The 21,139-nt window shown below is 38.7% G+C and overlaps 1 protein-coding gene across 1 annotated transcript in view, besides 1 other annotated feature; it reads right to left on the bottom strand.

Annotated features, from left to right (window-relative positions):
- Nucleotides 1-21,139, bottom strand: part of LAMC1 (laminin subunit gamma 1) — a 122,173-nt gene that overhangs the window by 94,074 nt on the left and 6,960 nt on the right. The window lies entirely within an intron of this gene.
- Nucleotides 6,099-6,299: a silencer, noted in NCBI's record as "peak499 fragment used in MPRA reporter construct". NCBI's record gives its function as "represses an SCP1 promoter by STARR-seq MPRAs in K562 erythroleukemia cells {active_cell/tissue: K562}" and the evidence as "EXISTENCE:reporter gene assay evidence [ECO:0000049][PMID:32103011]".

The following is a 21,139-nucleotide window of genomic DNA, read 5'->3' as shown; positions in this document are numbered from 1 at the left end:
TTTGAGAGTCAAGAATTTGGGAAGGGTTCAGCTGGATGATTCGTGTACTCCACACGGTATTGACTGAAGTCACACAGTGGTACTCAGCTGCCAGGTGGGCTCATCTGCCTGGTGCCTTGATGGGGATGGAGGAAAGGCTGGACAGAGCTAGGAATGCTCACCAGAAATGCCTGCTCATGTCCTGTCAAATATGGTGGTCTCAGGATAGTTGAACTTCTAGAAGGCAGTTCAGGATCCAAAAGGCAGGTGGAAGCTGCCCATCCTCTCAAAGGCTAAGCCTAGAACTGCCATATCATCACACATACTGTCCCATATTGGTTAAAGCAGTCACAGCCCAGTCCACACACAAAAGGAGGAGTGTCAAAGCATCTGTGGTCATCTTTAATCCATCATAACAATCAAAATCAGAGTTGCATCCTAGACAGCTGTGACTTATTAACTATTGAATATTGAAAAGTAAACACCTCAGATAAAAAAATAATTTGAAAGGAGAAGAGGAAAGGTAATTCTCAGAGGAACAGATATTCTCATAACCTGCTAACTCAGAATTTAGGACTGTAACATCTAAAGGCCTTAAAAATATCCACGTCTTTTAATTCAGTAATTCTTTTTTTTTTTTTTTTTTTTGAGATGGAGTTTCACTCCTGTTGCCCAGGCTGGAATGCAACAGCACGATCTTGGCTCATTGCAACCTCCACCTCCCAGGTTCAAGCGATTCTCCTGCCTCAGCCTCCCAGGTACCTGAGATAACAGGCATGCACCACCAGACTCAGCTAATTTTGTATTTTTAGTAGAGACGGGGTTTCACCATGTTGGTCAGGCTGGTCTCGAACTCCTGACCTCATGTGATCCACCAGCCTCAGCCTCCCAAAGTGCTGGGATTACAGGCGTGAGCCACCGAGCCTGGCCCAGTGATTCTATCTTTAAGAATCTGAGAGGCCAGGCACGGTGGCTCACGCCTGTAATCCCAGCACTTTGGGAGGCCGAGGCGGGCAGATCACGAGGTCAGGAGATCGAGACCATCCTGGCTAACGTGGTGAAACCCCTTCTCTACTAAAAATACAAAAAAATTAGCCAGGCATGGTAGCGGGTGCCTGTAGTCCCAGCTACTTGGGAGGCTGAGGCAGGAGAATGGCGTGAACCTGGGAGGTGGCGCTTGCAGTGAGCCGAGATCACGCCACTGCATTCCAGCCTGGGCGAGAGTGAGACTCTGTCTCAAAAAAAAAAAAAAAAAAAAGAATCTGAGAAAACAAGCAGAAACATTGATAAAGTGAGGTAAATATATCAAAGAACTATTACAACAGTCACAATGTAGAAGTAATTTCTAATAAGAGATAGGGTTAAATAGAGACAACACTATCTTTCAAAAGATGACTAAACAACATAATAAAAGCTCACATGGAGAGTACACAATATAACCAACACCAACTTTGAAATCTGATTGATAAAGGTCAACTGGCAGATAACACTACCTTGAGTGGGAACGACATCTTTAGCACATAAGATTCTAAGTGTATTATGCAAGGAGACTGAATTTGAAAAAAATAATGCACGGAAACACATGTGAAATGGTATCTACTACAGATTTGATTTACTATTGATGCTGCCCAAACTATTCCTATTATGCCCAGTTTAAAAAATAAAGAACACAATTGACACAAAGGAAGAAAATCCAGAATGATTTTTTTTTTTTGTTTTAGTTTGGTGAGAATGGGAGAGTATGGTATTTAAGGAGATAAGAAAACAGACACTTTTGGCTTGGCATGGTGGCTCACGCCTGTCATCCCAGCACTCTCAGAGGCCAAGGCAGGTGGATCACTTGGGGTCAGGAGTTTCAGACCAGCCTGGCCAACATGGTGAAACCCCGTCTCTACTAAAATTACAAAAATGAGCTGGGCATGGTGGCACATGCCTGTAATCCCAGCTACACGGGAGGCTGAGGCAGGAGAATTGCTTGAACCCGGGAAGCGGAGGTTGCAGTGAGCTGAGATCACACCACTGCACTTCAGCCTGGGCGACAGAGCTAAACTCCGTCTCAAAAACAAAAAAAAAAAACAAAAAAACCTTAAATTCAAAATTGGAGAAAATAGTTACAAGAAAATAAATCAAGAATATGGTATTGACACAACCTCTGTAGATAAACTTAAAAAATTAGATTTCTTTTACCACAATTATACAATTTTTTAAAAAGACTTCTGCCACAACTTATTCTAATACTGTAATTACAATCAGACCAGTATTAAAGTCTTTCCATTTCTGTATGTCTTCTCTACACCTGGGGATGCTATAGATGGCATTTTACCAAGAAAAATATTAAGATGATTCTGCTGAGAACTATTTAAAGAGCAGTTGTATACAACAAATATGAAGATTTAGTAAGAAAACTTGGAGAATTTGCTCCAAATTTAGTTTCTTCTATAAGAGTGGGAAAGTAGACTAGAAATATCAGCAAACATTTCTGGAGTACACATTAGATGCAAAGAACTATATTAATAATAAAGACAGGAAGAAATTCAAGATGTAGTCCCTGCCATCATATCTCCAGTTGGTGAGACAATATATATACCACAATGTTAATACTAGGTAACAACTTGGCTAAGAATCTGAATAGGAGGAAGTGATACCTGGTATTTTCGAGAGGGCTTTGGCTTCCTGTGTACAACAGAGCGGAAGGGAGAGAGAATATAGGGGCAGAAGACTATTTAAAAGACACGTGTGAGGATGAGGTGCTGTAAAGTGAAGATTTTCAAGCCCAACAGACACTCATGTCCCCAATACTATAACAAATATTTTAAAATGCTTCTCCTTTACCATCCCAAAATAAAACTCATAAATTATATAATCTACAACATATATAACTTACAAGTGGGGTGGGTGGTGTACATGTGTGTAGCTCTAACTATAACATAAAGCAGAAGTTAAAAGGAAATACACGCCTTTTAATAGGTAATAGCTCAGGGATTACTATACTAGAATGTATAACAAAGCTATCAGACATTTGTACTTATTTATAACAAGTTTATACTTTTAAAAACAGAATTGGATGTCATTCTGTACAAGGCATACAGGAAATGAAAGGATAGAGCTATAGGTGGACACTGCAATAAAAATCATTGTTGGGAAACGTAGCACCAGCAGATTTACCTGTATGTTTTAAGATAAAGAGGACATTTTAACTAAGTAGGTATAACAGGTCAGAACAAATTACACTGAGGGACAATGACGTATCTCTGCCAACTTTATCAGCATGTTTCCTTGTAAAATGTTCACTTACTCTTAGTGATTTCATTGTTCCGTAAGAAGAAACAAGGTAGACACAGTAATAGCTATTCACATTTAGGAAAAGATGGTTGAAAGCAAATTTCAAAATTTCAGCTACTATCAACACTTTTATTTACATTTGATATTTTAGAAAAAAAGAGGCTAAGAATATACAAATTGGTACACAGATTCACTCTGATTGCTAGAAAAGCAGACTGATTTACATATGTGTTGTATGGGCAACTTGAATATCATGAGAGGCAGCGTTGGCAGAGATGGGGCCTTCCGAATTGGTGAACTAACTCTCGGTAAGCTAAAAAAATATTTATATACATGGTGGTTGTATTCATGGGAAATTACATATAATAAAGTTATGAAAAAAACTGTTTATGTGTAAAGACAAAGTTATGTTCTAGGCTCAGGTATTTATAATCAGGTTTTTTAATAGCACAAATGTCCCGTGAGAAATCCAAAAGTTAGGCAGGATTTGGGCAATTCTTTGTTGTATGGGACTGTCTCCCATCCCCTCCAATTCCCCACAATCCCCTCCTGTCCACTAAATACCCCTACGGGGACAGTACCACACTCATTTGAGAACTACTTCTGTAGTGTTTACAGACAAATTACACATGGGTCTATCTATCCCCAAAACTTAAAAGACTCATATCTATCACATTTTACAAGACAACATTTTAACAAGGTCCCATACATTCAACACTCTTTGTTCCAAGTCTTTTAAATGCAATCCTTTCTCAGATGATAAATAAGGTTTCAGAGGGCGTTAGACAGTTTTGAAGAGAAAGAGACAAAAGAGCTTAAAATGCATGATCCACAGAATTGATATAAAAATATAAAGACTGACCTAAAATATCTCAGAAGCTTGAGAAATTTATCACACTCTGTAATTGAGTGATTTAGTTATGAAGAACAAAACAAAACCCAAGTCCCTCTATCAATGCTTCCTTGAGTTACCACTGGTTCAGTTTGCTTTGTTTTTTAGGGAAATACATGTATTAATCAAATCTCCAGTGAATTTTATGAATAGAAATGTTTCCATTTTCCAGATTACCACTTATTGCATCAAACAGTATGAACAGCAACTAATTTGGTAGCTAATTTTACCAAAAAGGTGAATAATATCTGTATACTACCTAATTTGATATTTTAGAGCTATTTTAATTAACTGAAACCTGTACCCAAAACATTTCTTAAAATGGCCTTACAGCAAAAGAAGTTGAAAACTAAGCTGAAAGAAACTGTTAGTATCATACCTCTTTACAAAAAAAGTGAGGTAGCTTACAGAAATAAATATTATGCAACAGAATTAAGAATGGCCTTCATAATTATAAAAGAGATAAACTTTAAAACATATCTCACCTATCAAATTAGCAGAGCTTTATAAAGGCATAATATTTAAGGGGAATTTTTTTAAATGTATTCTGTATATTGTTCTAATCAACAGAGAAAAAAGTAAAAGAGTTAAGGCTTGGTAAGGAGAAACAAAACTGTCATTATTACAGATGATGACTACCTACATATAAACCCAATAGAAGCTAAAGACAAATTATTAGAATAAAACAATTAAGCAAGTGGTTATAAGGTCAACACACACAAAAAAAGTTTTATTTTTATATACCAGTGACAAAAGAGTTAGAAAGTGTAATTCAGAAAAAATTATAATAGCAATAAAAAATAAAATGTATCTAGGAATAAATCCATCAGGAAAAGAGCAAGGCTCATGAGGAGAAAACTATTAAATATTATTGGAGTTAAACAGAGAAGATATAAATTATACCATGTTCATGGAGAAAAAAATCAATAATAAAGATGTCAATTCAATCCAAATGGATACACAAACTCAATGCAACTTCAATCGAGATGCAAACAGCTTACTGAGGAACTTGACAACCTGATTCTAAATTTTACATGGATAAGCACAGGCCTAAACATAGCTAAGATATTTCTAAAATAGAAGAATAAGTTGGAAAGGAAATTGTCCTAGCAGATAAAGACAATGCACATGAATCGACTCCAGATAAACTTAAATGTAGAAAGGCAAAACTTCAGAAGATCCTTAAAAGAAAATATAAGGAAAGACTTCTTACATAAGACTCAAAAGGGCTAACAGAAAAAGTACCCACAAATGTGATCGCATTAAAATTAAGACATTTTGTTCAAAAGATATCACAGAAAAAATGTAAAAGACAAATTATACACTGGACACACTGGAAGATAAGGAAAACACATAACTGACAAAGGATTAGTATAAAGAATATATGAAGAATTCTACAAATCAATAAGGGAAAGAAAACATGATGAGACATTTTGCGGAGAGGAAATATGAAAGACCAATAAACACATGAAAAGATACTCTCCTTTATAAATAAAACCACTAAGATACAATTTTATACCACCAAATGATCAAAATTTGAGAATTCTCACAATACCCAATGTGGATCAACAGGCCTATTAACACTGCTAGTTGAGCATCTAAACTAGCACGATCACTCTGGGAAACAATTTGCATTATTTTATAACATTGAAAAACTCATGTATTATGACCCAGCAACCCAGGTAGAGAGAATCTCACACATAGGCATCAGGAGACATGTGTGAGAATGCCCATAGAAGCGTTCTATTCGTAAAACAACAACAACAACAAAAAATCCATCAGCAGGATAATCAAAAGCTTAGGTGTAGTATAATCTTAACTAGACAGGAATGCAAATGAATGAACTACAGCTACACTTCAAAAATATACTGAACTTTTTTTTCAATTGGCAAGTTGCCAATTACCACATATAGAATACCATTTTTACAAAGCTCAAAAACAAACAATACATTGTTTAGGAATTACAAAACTATTTTCTTTTAAAAGCAAAAGACTAAAACATAAAATCCATGGTAGTAGATACCTGGGGTGAGGAAAATTGGAAGAAATGTCCCTAGAGTTACTAATCTACTTCATATGGAAACTTTTATTTCTACTCCATATTTATGTGCACTAAAACAGAATACTTGGCTGCATAAACAATTATCTATTTTACCTTGTATTGACTTGCAAGTACAAAACAATAATTCATACTAATCAACTGGCCATATACATTTAAAACAAAAAAAGCCAAAAAAAAAAAACCTACTGAGAAGATTCTAGTTGTTACTGGTGAGCACTTGGTAATTATTAGCCTAGGTGACAACAGAATTTCCTCTCTGAGAAATAATCCCTGGGTTCACTGGAAATCAGTATTAAGAATGTACAAGGGAAGTATTACATTTTAATAACCTTCAAATGACAAGAAGAAGGCTTTAGTGGATCTTTTTTTTTTTTTAAGCATTGAGACACCAACTTCATGACACTTTACAATTAATATAACAGAAACGTTTAAAAGTCTCAGTGTGAGAAAATCTGCTACCCTAAAAAAAGAAAGGTATTTAACTTGGCATTGTGGATCCTGGAAAGGAAGACAACGCTTCTTAAAAAGAAACAATTTTGTGGTTGGTTTCAGTTATTTTCCAGTTCTTAAAGGAAAGTTCAACAGAACAGACAGGTCTTCTATTACTACTGTCCACAAAAGGGGGATGTCTTAAATCTTGAGGAAATAGCTCCGTGGCCTTTCTCCAATGATTAGTGAACACAGCTCTTCCAAACACCCTTCCAAAGCCATGGCCTGGATATATTTTTTTAATTTAGTCCTAGGTTTCTCTGTCAGTTTAGAATTGAATCTTCTGATTCATCAAAAGAGCCAAAGAATATTTAAATGCCTATCGTTTTACGAGTCAAGTACCCAGCTCTAAGTTACTGACCTAATGGTTTAAAACACGGTTCCCACGCTGGGTGCATATGAAAATAAATAAACATAAAAAAGATTCCCAAAGAAGATGGTATGCTCAAGTGACCAATGAGTGATACAGTAAGCACTGCTGTGTCACACTTCTAAGATGTGGGGAAGAATTTATAGAGAAGGCATTTTTCTTCCAAAAGAAACTAGGACAGTAAAGCCCAGAGGACAACATGATGTATTTTGGGCAAAGGACTCTGCACAAATAAAGAGAATGAGTTTGACTTTAAAAAAATAAAAAAGAAAGATGTCAATTCAAGGAGACTGTAATCTTTTAGAAAGCAAAAACCAAGCTGACAGAACACAACAGGCAAAAGCAATCATTTATAACCATTTACACAGTCATCCTCAAAACTGAGTGACTAAAGATTCCTAGACACTGATTTACTAAGGATTAAAAAAAACTGGACAGAAAGTTAGTTGTGATAAGCAGGTAGGTAAACAGATAAAGAGCAGACAAGAAGGACACAGACATCGCCAAAATTATCTGCTTCTGAAAACAAGAACAACAGAATAACTTTCAATTCAAAATGTATCTCAAATGAAATGGCTTTAACATAGCCAGGTTTCTCACAAAACTATGCATGGTAGTAATGTCATTAAAAATGACATTGCCTTTCTAAAATGATTTTTAAAAGGCAACACCTTTTTACAAAAATCAATGAAGCAACAACAAAAATTGAACGGATGTCCCTAGAGGAATAGAAATACTTTTCTAATAGGTCACTTTTTATCAGAATTCAACCCTATTTCTTTTCTTCTTTTAAACATTTATGTAATGCCCTATCTGTAGTTCTAAATATTGTTACCATAATTTCATAATCCATTCACTCAAATTGTTAGAACATGTCAAAATTCACCCTTTCAATGAAATGAAATTTCCTATTAAACTTTATCTGCTTATTTAGATAACCAATTTACCAGATGCCTATTGTTCACATTTTTATATAGTCTTCAGTAGTTTTATCACTATCTGTAAAAGTGATATAACTTACGTAATCAAATGTGATATAAGTCCATAATCCTTCATCTGTGATTCTCAATTCAAAAAGCCCTAAACAGCAGGAGATTTTCATAATGTGTGACAACAATACATGACCTAGTGTGAGGCTATGATAGCCTTTCATCAGTCTGTTTCGTACGAATACATTTTACTGCAGATATATTCAATTGCTTGGAGATGGGGGTCCTGCTGAGGGTGTTATGTAACATACACCCATCTTCCTAAATCTACTAGATCATAAGCACCCCACTCTAAGTTGGACACCTAATTAATGGTTAAAACATGATTCACAGCTGCCTTCAATGAACTCGCAATGAAGAAAAAGATAAATATACATTTAAGAAGATTCCACAACAAAACTGTATATGTTCAAGCCACAAAAAGCACTGATTTATCACTTCTGGAACTCTCATTCCTAAAAGACATCTGGATTTTAAAACAGCTCTGATTGGTCTGTCACAGCTGAAGGTAAACACCATCAGCATCGTCAAGTGAATTCAGACAATGCCCATGTGGGATGTGCTCCTCCGAGGCAGATAGACATAGAGCCCATCAGTGTAAGTACACAACACCAAGAAGGTACAGTGGGATCTCAGTGCCAGGAGAGGGCTGGGGGTGTGAAAATGGAAAAGGTCAAAGAATAAACCAATTCTGTAAAGTCAGGGAGTGAAGGCTGTGCACTAAGAGCAGAATGAGTACACACCCTTTCTTCAGAGGCTCTTTTACTGAAAAGCTAAAGTTGTGAGGATCCACAGTGAGCGTGGTCCCTATTTTTCTATATCCACTCCCTACAACTGCCAGCCACAGAATGGGAACCTCTGAAGACTCTCCAGAAAGACCAGAACTTGGGAGAAACCAGACTCTTCAGCACAGGAGTTGGCATGGCAGAGCTGTCTGCCAAAAATCTGTTCTCTCCCCACCAACCCATCCATCACTGTAATAGATCTGTGGCCAGGCACAAGACCACCCAGCTAGACCCCATTTTCCAGCCTCTACTGTGTTTATGAGGTGGCCAAGTGACTAAGCTCTCTCTGGTGGCAGATAATACACTTTCAGGTGTTATGGCACTTTGGGGAGGTAAGATTTTCAAGTGTTAAGATTTAGGCACACACTCCTCAATATCTTCCCAATTGGAAAGCACAGGGGCCTATCACCCAGCCTCAACCAGGCACATAAGAATGATACCCTAAAGGATCCCAGATTATTTCCAGGAAACACTCATGAGTCCCTGAATGTCAGCGTGGAGAACTACCCTGCTGTCCTGAACCACTGACCTCAGAATTACCACCTGAAGGAGAAACAAACTTCAATGATTTAAAACTGGGTTTTTATTTACTTTATTACTTTATACTGGGGCTCTTTGATACAGTGACTTACTCTTCATCTAACAATGCTGGTGAGGAAACTATACCATGTACTAGCCATCCTATTCTGCCTGATCAATTTTAAAAACCCTATCTACAAGGCAAATTCCATCATGGGAAAACCTAAACAAAATTGCTGTTTCTTGCACTCATCTGCATTCTGTGTCCATAGCCTCAAAGAAATAGAAATTCACTCATTCAGCAAACTTTTTTGAACCCCTACTACCATATAAAAGGTATTATGCCGTACACTAGGGGCATAAAAGTCAGTGGGGTGGTGGAGGGGAAGCCAATGAAATCCTCCCTAGGTCAGGTCCTTTGTACTGCATGCTTTTTTACCCAGAACTTAAGCTCTAGGTCTTCTCTGCCCTGTCTCCGGTACTATGCAGTACCTTTTGTGTAACAGGTGCTTAATAAATCTTTGTAAATGAATGAATTAAGAAATCTATGGATTCGTCTTGTCTTTGATGAACTCAGCTAATGGGGGAAAGAGAGAAAACAATACAATATAGCACCCCTCACATCCTAGGTATGCAATATGCTTACTGGATTTTAGAAGTGAGTGGACGTATAAACATCAAATGACATAAAGGCAAGTGCTCTGGAGGGAACAGAGGAATTAGAAATTAGCAAAATCTTCTTGGAGGAGTTGAAATTTGTCAGGAGTTTTAAAGATGATTAGGAAGTAGCCAAAGGAAAAAACAGAAAAGTAAAGAGTCAAGAAAAAAATGTAGTAGTACCCACACGGTGGGAGCATGTTTACTATGAACAGTTTACCATGACTGAAATTAAAGGCAGGGGAATAAGATGCACAGAACTTGTACTCCTTTGAATACTATCACTTCCATTAATTAAGCCTGACACAGTACTCTTTTCTGTAGCATTTGCATCACCCCACTTGCTTAATATAAATTGCTATGAAACCAGAGCTCCCCCTTCTTTGACTTCCAGATTTAATTTTCATTTTTAAATCTAAAATCAGGATTTATTTGACTATTTCTGGTAAGTCATTTATCACATAAACAAGGAATCCCAAGGTCATAAGGAATCTTCACGGTCACCAGATCAACATTCTGGGAAGCATTTATTTTGATCTTCTATAGTCATATCTCCTTTGCAATCACATGGAATTTCTATCCTTCTCTCACGGCACTTCATGTTTTGTCTCAGAGAAAATTTGTTGATACACACATTCTTACTCTCCCACTGGACTGCATGCTCTTTAAGTGCAACCTACATTCTTCTTTATCTCATATTCCTCCAGTGCTCAATCATCAAAAGCTCTGCATAAAATCATCTTTTAATCCAATTCTGTCAGCTCTAGCAGCCTCTGTCAAGTCCCACCTATGTGCTCACCCCGGGTTACAGCCTCAGGGTTACCTTCAGTCAAGATGAGCTGCTCCAGCCTTTCTCCTGAAACCCAGTCAAGCCACAGGCAGAGCCTCTCTCCTCTTTTTAACACTAATGATGCCACATTATATCCTTTTTTTTCCCTCCACTTCTATTTTACGAAGATTTAATACCCTGATTTTTAAAAAATGGAACAAGTTCCAAATAAACAAACCAACTTGTTTGTAAGCTATGGAATATCTGTATTTCAGAAATTGTCAGATTTCCCAGCAGATGTTTGAAGCCTAGAATCATCAATAGCCTTTCCTGTCCCATCTTTTGTTCCTCTGACAAAGTTACTGTGCTTCCTTGAGACTTCCTGTTTGAATAACCACACACTTGGGTGTTCAAACTCCCATGTGTCCATTATTCACCATAAAAGGGACCTGAGGAAGTAACCAGGCAGTTGAACACAAAATGATGTATGAACAAAAACAGCTGTGTGTTAGCGGGAGGCACAAAAAGACAGCAGGGATCCAGGCAATGCTGTGAATTTCAAACACAAGTTCTCTTCAGTCAGGCATGGTTAAAAGGCTGCTGACTCAGAGCATCAGTTGCCCATTTCATAATTGAAAACCACTAGAGATGTGAAGAAGTCCGAATCTAGTTACATTCAGAGTCTCACCTCCAACACCACCCTCACCAACAGTCTCCCTCGAGGGAACAAAGCAGCCTCTCCTCTCACAGAAATGTCAATACCCACTCAAAGGTTTTTACCAAAAATTTAATACCTATTCTATTTCCCAATCCAAAAAGCAGATACCTACCTTTCCCCAGGGGTTCTAAAAGTAAAAACAGAGGAAAGCACAGATAGAGACAGACACAGCAGAACACATGAAAGACAGCACAGAAAACAAATCTGTACTACAAACATCTGGGAAGTATGTTAATTCCAGAATCAGTGTCCATCTTGAAATGGTCTGGATTCACCATTGACGTCTGTGCCAGGACATAAAAGCTCTAAAGTGGACATATGTTTAAAACCCAAACCTGATTAGAATGCCTACAAAACTGAATGATCCTGAAGTCTACCCAGGAGTTGATGCTATTTCAGGGCGTATGGCAAAAATGCTGAAAACAATAATAAACAACCCAGCAAGAGCCTCTAAAGCAATCCTGATAATAAACAAATTTTATTACAGCTGCATTACAGATGTTCCCACAAATGCTCATAATTTGTAGAATTCTAAGAATTTATAGTCTCCAATAGACTTTCTATCCCATGAACTTATCTAAAATACCACAAATTCAAAACTATGTATGGACTGCTCCGAAAGTTAATCCAAGACACTGAAGGCCACTGATCACGACCCTTTACCCAAGAAGGGGCAATCACATGACCAAAGCAATTCAAGTACACAATTGCTCTTTTGGTTTCTAACCCTCCCCCGACCCCACCACAATCTTTATCCTTAGTCCCTTGTTTATTCCCACCTCCAAAAGAACACAATTTCAATGAAAATTCCGGCATGCTCAGCTCTATCAGATCATGATCCAGAATTTTTTTAGAAAAAATTCTTTAAACTTAGTGGCATCAAAACAGATGATGTCACCAGCACCATCATAATAGGGGTATGATGGATGGGAACCACTGAAGAATGGTAGCACAGATGCACGAGTCTACAGGTAAAACTGCTCACCCAAGGCAACTACGCCTACCTTAAATTATTTGGTAAGAGATTAAATAAATTAAACCAGGACCTATCCCTAAAACTTTTTTTCTTTTTTTTTTATAGCTTAAATTTTCAACTCCAAAATTTTATGATTTTATTATTCTAGTTAGCCAAATATTTTTCAGAGTCCACGGATGTCTCTGTGGACATTCCAGAAAACTAAGAGTCTATTAAACTCCAAATCTTGATCTAACCATTTTACACTGTCAAATTATTTATTCCTTACAGTTTTTGATAATAAAATGGTCGAGGATTTTGAGAACATGTGGGCAGCAGATTCCTGCCTCTAATTGGGATTCGTGATGCCAGGGCAGGAAAATATCACTTCCCAGTCCCTGCCAGTGAAAACTCAAAAAAAGCTGTTCAGCTCATTTCATCATGCTGTCACTACCCTCTTTCTAAAAACTGCAAAACTCTTTTCTTGGAAATCATTATCCCTTCATTCTCTCTGAAGAAAGTTGATGGAAAAGTCCTGAGAAAACATTTATGCATTTATAGTTTACCAACTGACCAAAAACAAAACAAAACAAAAAACAGCAGAGAGAAGGGAGGACACTGAGGACATTTTAAGCCCAACACTCAGCCCTCCGGTGTAGCACAGGGTGCCACCCACTCTCCCTGTAAGAAAGGAAACTGAGCAAGGGCATTTAAAAATCATCTGTGGGCCAGGAGCAGTGGCTCACGCCTGTAACCCCAGGACTTTAGGTGGGTGACTCACCTGAGGTCAGGAGTTCGAGACCAGCCTGGCCAACATGGTAGAACCCCATCTTTATTAAAAATACAAAAATTAGCCAGGCATGGTGGCCCACGCGTGTAGTCCCAGCTACTCAGGAGGCTAAGGCAGGACAATTGCTTGAACCTGGGAGGCGGAGGTTGCAGTGAGCTGAGATCACACCACTGCACTCCAGCCTGGGCAACAGAGCAAGACTCTGTCTCAAAAAAAAAAAAAAAATACATACAATGTATACTAAACAGGTCTGTAAAGAAAGCAGAAAAGGCAGGGCAGTGATTCAGTAATACTTAGTATATTTAATCAGCCAACTTCAAACCTGTGAAGTTCTACTATAATAAGAGTTTTGACTTTTTTTAAAAAGGGGATAGGGCATGAGGGAGAAAAAAACAATCCTAGAATTTTAAGTTCTAGAAGTAGTGGTAGAGTGTGGTGGGCAAGCAAAAGAAAACACATTGTAAATACATGTCCTAATGGGAACGATGATCCCTTTCTTCAAAAATAAAGCCAAAAAAAATTAAGGTATCTAAGAGTCCTCTGATTGAACCTTAGCTCGGCAACACTCTGGGGAAACTAAAGAGAAAAGGAGGGAGGCAGAAAGAGAGAGAGGAAGAGGTAAAGAGAGACTTACAGATTTGCAAATTCACATACACAGACATCAAAGTGAATAGTATCACTTCTGAACCTGAATAATGTTAATACTGACAAAGAAAGCTCCTGGGACTACAGTAGCTAGCTATTCATCAATTAACAAAAGGTGGGTTAGACCTATTCAGTTAGCAAACTTTAACAACAAAACATACCATGTAAGGGTTAGAATTTACTTGGAGCAGAGAAGGAAAGAACTAGAATGTGAAGACAGACCAGGCAGCCTTATCTTTAATAATGTCAGATAAAGTAAGCAAGTGAACTAACTCAGCAATTCTCAACAACCAGAAAGAAGTCATGGATAAGGCAGAAAGGAGATAAGATGGTGGCATTCCCTGTATAAATGAAGCCACTGATCATCCCTCAGGAAATGAGGTAGGGTACACTTTTCCTGTCAGACACTGACAAAATCCAGGACCTCATCCTGAAATTCAATAAATTCCTTAGAAATTCCTAGAACCATTAACAACTGAATATCATGCAACTAGTTCAAGTACCCAAAACCTACAAGTCTTCCACTGAAAACAATCCTTTGGGGCCAGGTGCGGTGGCTCACGCCTGTAATCCCAGCACTTTGGGAGGCCAAGGCAGATGGATCACCTGAGGTCAGGAGTTCGAGGCCAGCCTGACCAACATGGCAAAACCCCATCTCTACTAAAAATACAAAAATTAGCCGGGCGTGGTGGTGGGTGCCTGTAATTCCAGCTACTCAGGAGGCTGAGACAGAAGAATTGCTTGAACCCAGGAGGTAGAGGTTGCAGTGAGCCAAGATCGTGCCACTGCACTCCAGCCTGGGCGACAAGAGTGAAACACCATCTAAAAAACAAAACAAAACAAAACAAAAAAAGAAAACAATCCTTTGTTCTTCACAAATAAGCGTAATGTGTTTTTTACAGAGGATCCAGTTAAAAGAATTCATTCAGCTGTGCGCAGTGGCTCACGTCTGTAATCTCAGCACTTTGGGAAGCCGAGGCGGGCGGATCACTTGAGGTCGGAGCCTGGCCAACATGGTGAACTCCCATCTCTACTAAAAATACAAAAATTAGCTGGGTGTGGTGGCACATGCCTGTAATCGCAGCTACTTGGGAGGCTGAGGCAGGAGAATCGCTTGAACCCAGGAGGCAGAGGTAGCAGTGTGCCGAGATCACGCCATTGCACTCCAGCCTGGGTGACAGAGCGAAACTCTTGTCTCAAAAAAAAAAAAAAAAAAAAAAAGACTGGCGTGGTGGCTCACGCCAGTAATCCCAGCACTTTGGGAGGCCAAGGCAGATGGCTCACCTAGTCAGGAGTTTGAGCCCAGCCTGGCTAACATGGCGAAACCCCATCTCTACTAAAAAATCCAAAAATCAGCTGGGCACAGTGGCAAGTGCCTGTAATCCCAGCTACTCGGGAGGCTGAGGCAGAAGAATCACTTGAAGCCGGGAGGCGGAAGTTGCAGTGAGCCAAGATTGCGCCATTGTACTCCAGCCTGGGAGATAGAGCAAGACGCTGTCTTAAAAAAAAAAAAAAAAAAAAGAATTCATTCAAGCACAAAGTGTGAGGGTAGTTTTCCAGGAAACATGGACACTGAAGAATGGTGGTCAGCACTCCCCAGCATTGGGAAAGGTGAGAATCATTTATATAGGAAAAATAGGGGAGTGGAACAGGATTACAACATTTTCTGCATAAGGCTAACATAGAGATACAAGATTTGATTGGTTACTATTATACTCTAAGGGGGTTGCTTAACACTCCATTGTAAAGCAGTAACAATCACAGGGGTCTCTACCTCCAGCTGCATTTAGTCTAGGTTTGAATAAAGAATAGGGTATCTGGTTACAGGTAACATCTCAACACAAAGGTCCCTAAGCAACAGTCACACACCAGAGAAGAAAAACAGCCATGTTATGTGACTCAGTCTCCAGGGCCTAACTTTTCCGCTTGGCATAATAAATTCAGAACGTGTAGAAATTTTCTTTTCACAGGTAGAGCATATTTTTTCTATCAACAGACACTGACAAAATCCAGGACCTCATTCTCAAATTCAATAAATTCCTTAGAAATTTCTAGAAGCATTAACAGCTAAATATCATACAACTAGTACATATGCCCAAAACCTAAAATTCTTCCACTGAAAACAATCCTCAGCTGGGCATGGTGGCTTACACCTGTAACCCCAGCACTTTGGGAGGCCAAGGCAGGAGGATTGCTCGAGGCCAGGAGTTCGGGTCCAGTCTGGACAACACAGAGAGACCCCATCTCTACAAAAAAATTAAATTAGCTAGGCATGGTGGCATATGCCTGTAGTCCTAGCTACTCAGGAGGCTGAGGTGGGAGGTTTGTTTGAGCCCAGGTGTTTGAGGCTGCAATGAAATAGGATCGTGCCACTGCACCCCAACCTGGATGACAGAGCAAGACCCTGTCTAAAACATATATATTTTTTTAATTAAAAAAAAAATCCTCTGTTCTTAAGTGTAAAGCCCTTTTAACAGAAGCAGTCGAAATCCAGAGATCCTAAAGCAGTGGTCTATCAGAGAAACAATGCTTAGTTCCTTAGCACTCTCATTTTACTCCTCAATTTGAGGTCTTTCTAGAATTCACTATCACTTACAGCAGGTCTGACCTAAAATGGCAGAGTGGCAAAAACATAATCTATGTACCACAGCAGGTCTGGATTTCAACCTACGCAACCTCAGAAAAGTCACTAGTCATATTATTCTTCCCCGGGGCTAACAATAGTTCTCAAGACTGAAGAATTCAAAGAGGTAACCAGGAGGCACTTGACAAAAGGTAATTTAGTTTCTTTTGTCACCCAGCTTTCAAGTTCTCCTCAGAATCCATCTGGCACGTCCTCATTGCTCCATGAATGGCAAATAATACCTTCACCATTATCTAACTACTTTTAGATCTTTATTCAAACAACTCAACCTTCCTGGAAACACCCTACACTCATGTCTATTACTTTTCTTCAAGATCCGGGAAGCTTTTCCGGGCTGACTTCAATCCCTACTCTTCAAAATGCTCTGTAGGTATTCTCCTAACAATTTAAAAAGTTTCAACTGGGCTGGGCGCGGTGGCTCACGCCTGTAATCCCAGCACTTTGGGAGGCCGAGGCGGGCAGATCACGAGGTCAGGAGTTCGAGACAAGCCTGATCAACATGGTAAAACCCCGACTCTACTAAAAATACAAAAATTAGCTGGGCATGGTGTCATGCACCTGTAGAGTCCCAGCTACTCAGGAGGCTGAGGCAGGAGAATCACTTGAACCCGGGAGGCGGAGGTTGCAGTGAGCTTAGATCATGCCACTGCACTCCAGCCTGGGCAACAGAGTGAGACTCCATCTCAGAAAAAAGTTTCAACTGAATTATTTTGCCTACAGGTCAATGTTTTTGTCTGATCTCAAATACATTACGAATAAATCTATCTTTAGGATATAAAAAGTATCTTCAACATCTATCATAACTCACACATCCCATACTATAATGTCTGAGTGAACCATTTTCTCCCCAGCAGTCTTATTTACATAAGTCCTTTGTCCACTAATTAGAATCAAAATGCAATAAGCTCATCTCATTTTAAGTGGGTAGATCTTTTCAGATCACTGGAAATATTTCATAGCTTTATAAGTTTCTCCAGCCAGGCACAGTGGCTCACGACTGTAATCCCAGCACTTTGGGAGGCCAAGGAGGGTGCATCACCTGAGGTCAGGAGTTCGAGACCAGCCTGGCCAACATGGTGAAACCCGATCTCTACTAAAAAAAATACAAAAAACCTAGCAGGGCATGGTGGTGTGTGTGCCTGTAATCCCAGCTACTCGGGAGGCTGAGACAGGAGAATCGCTTGAACCTGGGAGGTGGAGGTTGCAGTGAGCCAAGATCACGCCACTGCACTCTAGCCTGGGCAACAGAGTGAGACTCTGTCTCAAAAAAAAATAAAAGTTTCTCCAAGAAAGCCACATGATTCAAACTTCAGACTTTTTATTTCTAAAAGGCTCAATAAGAGAAAGCCATTACCTAGACCATGTTTAAATGAATGAAGATGGGGTCTTCCCATTATTTAAGTGATATGTGGAACATTTACATTTCACCATGGAAATTAAATAGCAAGTTACCTAAGCACCAGATATTGTGACCAAAGCATATGCCACACAAAGACATTCTTAAAGAATTCTCTAAACCTGCAGCAAAACCCACAGACTTACCATTTTACCACATCAAACGATGAAGCATCAACCAAAACCACTACCTGCTTAAAGTGAGGTGAGAACAGAGGACAGCTCTTCCCCAGGTTTCCCATGCTCCACTGCCTGAGGCGTCTACCAAGCTTGATTGTATGAGAGGGCTCTGCAGGTACTTCAATGAAAATGGGCTCATAACTCAATTAAAACCAGCCAGTTCACTGATTTGATCACTCAACAAATATCTGTTAATGTCTATTAATGCCAGCAACTTCTGGTACAGAGGAGAAAGACACTAAGAGAAATATATTTTAGATGATGAAGCCTCACATTGTGTTCTCTCCTAAGCCAAAAATCATATGAAAAACAAACAAAATCAACTATATTATAGTGTACTACAATTGGCTGAAAGTTTCTTAATTCATTTTTTTATTCAAGGAATAATTTACATATAATGAAGTATACAAATATTAAATGCATAGCTCTGAAATTTTACATATGTAAAATTTATTCTTGAGCTCCACCCAGCTCAAGAATAGAACACAAAATCAGAACTCTAAAGAAGATGGGAAAAAAAAGAGACTGGTCATTAACCATGTCTCTGAAAACAGACAGGTACCTGTATAGTCACTGCCACAAACAATCATTCTGGTTAGCAGAAACTTTCATATATACACAGTACTGTGATTTATCATCATGAAACAAAATTTACTGAGTCCTTAACTCTATATAAGGCCACGTACCAAATTCAAAAAAAGAAAAAAAAGAGGCCAGGCATGGTGACTCATGCCTATAATCCCAGCACTGTGGGAGGCCAAGGCAAGAGGATCACTTGAGCCTAGGAGGTCAAGGCTGCAGTGAGCTCTGACTGCACCGCTGCACTTCCAGCTTAGGCAACAGAGTGAGACTTTGTCTCTTTAAAAATAAAAAAAAAAGCAAGCAATGTGAAGAAGACTGATTTTGAATTACTATCTCCTCCAACTTTCAAAACAAAAAGATAAAATAACAAAAATCTAAAAATAAAAGAATCTAATGTTGCCCTCAATATAAGAGGAAGCGGCCACACACAGATGGAAACAAAGAGTAAAAGAAGGGAACTGAGGAAATGTAACTCCTAAAGTTCAAAAGAAATAAGGTAAATCCCCTTATTCATTTCCCAGCCTTACCATAAGATTCTTCTCCCACAAGAGATCTGAGGGTGCCATTGTCTAAGAAAGAGAGAAGTCTGCTTTATTTTATTTCATGAATATGTAGCTGTACCAGGCTGACTGGGCCCACGTATTTCGGGCTGGCCCCTAGAAGAGCACACACATAGAAAAGCAGACATACTTAATTAGTGCCACCCTAGTCTGGTGCAGTACTCTAAAATCTCAGGAATGTTTCTATAAATGGGTTTTCTGGTAACCCCATTAGCAAGCTGTCAATTTTAGACCCAAATGAGCAAACACCTAACTTTATATCACAAGAAAGGAGATGCTTGCAAATTCCAGCAGGGCCCTTTTACATATGTGTTTTTTTTTCTTTAATCTTTTTTTTTCTTATTTTTAAATTATTTTATTCTACTCTATTCTTCTCCACAGGGCAAGTTCTATCTTAAACAAGTCTTATAGCAAGCAACCAAGGCAAAGTAATAGGATCTGCACAAAATCATCTTGAAATTTTACACTTTCAAGCTGACAACTTGAAGAAACATTAATCCCATATTTTTAAAAACCTTCTCAGAAATTTTCAGCAGTAAAAATAAACAAACAGCTCTGCTCTAAACTTTAACACCTTTCCCTAAAACCCAAACAGAACAGTGGTACAGCTGTCAATAAAGTCCAGTAGGAAAAATGAACAAGTAAAGAAGCAGGGCCGGGTGTGGTGGCTCATGCCTGTAATCCCAGCACTTTGGGCAGCCACGACGGGCAGATCACCTGAGGTCGGGAGTTCAAAACCAGCCTGACCAACATGGTAAAACCCTGTCTCTACTAAAAATACAAAATTAGCTGGGTGTGGTGGCACATGTCTGTAATCCCAGCTACTCGGGAGGCTGAGGCAGAAGAATAGCTTGAACCCAGGAGGCAGAGGTTGCAGTGAGCCAAGATCGTGCCACTGCACTCCAGCCTGGGCGACAAGAGCGAAACTCGTCTCCAAAAAAAAAGAAAAAAAAGAAGCAACTGTTGCTGCTGCCTATTAACTTTAGATGAATATGTGGTTACTGCTCATCGGCCTAACCACTTTAATGTGGAATACACTGGGCTATACCGTACTCTACATTTACAGTCCTTTCACTATCCTAAAGAAACAGTATGCCTATCTTCTAAATCTACTCATGATGACTTCACTAAACTTAAAAGGATGCTATATACAACAAGCAAATATTTCATTGTAACCTTTCCCCTCAGCTGCTTAATAATTCCCTTTAAGAATCTATTTCAACAATGTACATGTGAATATATACATTTTATTTATTTAATTTTTGAGATAGGGTCTACGTCGTCCAGGCTGGGGTGTAGTGGGTATTCAACAGGCGCAATTATGGTGTACTACAGCCTCAAACTTCTTAGCTCGAATGATCCCTCTGCCTCAGCCTCCCAAGTAGCTGAAACTACAGAATATATATACTTTAAATAAAATTTGCTTATGTCCATTTTTAAAGGAAAAAAATACAAATTAACATTTCAGAAATACATATTCACATGTGAGAATTCATGAGTTTTCGCCTAAGATTTATCTAGGCTGCCTTCAAGTCACATAACAGTCTAATTTTTACCCAAAAAAGGACAGTCATAGGCCTTTCCAATTCCATACCAGTTCCATACCTTAGTACTTTTTTAAAAAATTTACAGAAATAAAACCACATACTACATTTAATATTAGCTATTACAGTGACATATATCTTATAAAATGGAGAGATGGCACTGATAAAAAATAAACACAAGCTCAAAAGTTTTGCTTTGAAGAATTTAAGTTAATGTTCAATGTTCTGGGAGTTTTATAATTCAGGCATTCATTTATTCACTCACTGTACATATATTTTTATGAACACTATGCCAGACAAGTGTCACTGGAGACAGAATGCCTCCAGCCTCCA

Source organism: Homo sapiens, chromosome 1 (genome assembly GCF_000001405.40).
Source record: "Homo sapiens chromosome 1, GRCh38.p14 Primary Assembly".
Lineage (NCBI taxonomy): Eukaryota > Metazoa > Chordata > Mammalia > Primates > Hominidae > Homo > Homo sapiens.
The sequence above is the reverse complement of the archived record's forward strand: the minus strand, read 5'-3'. Positions and strand labels throughout refer to the sequence as shown.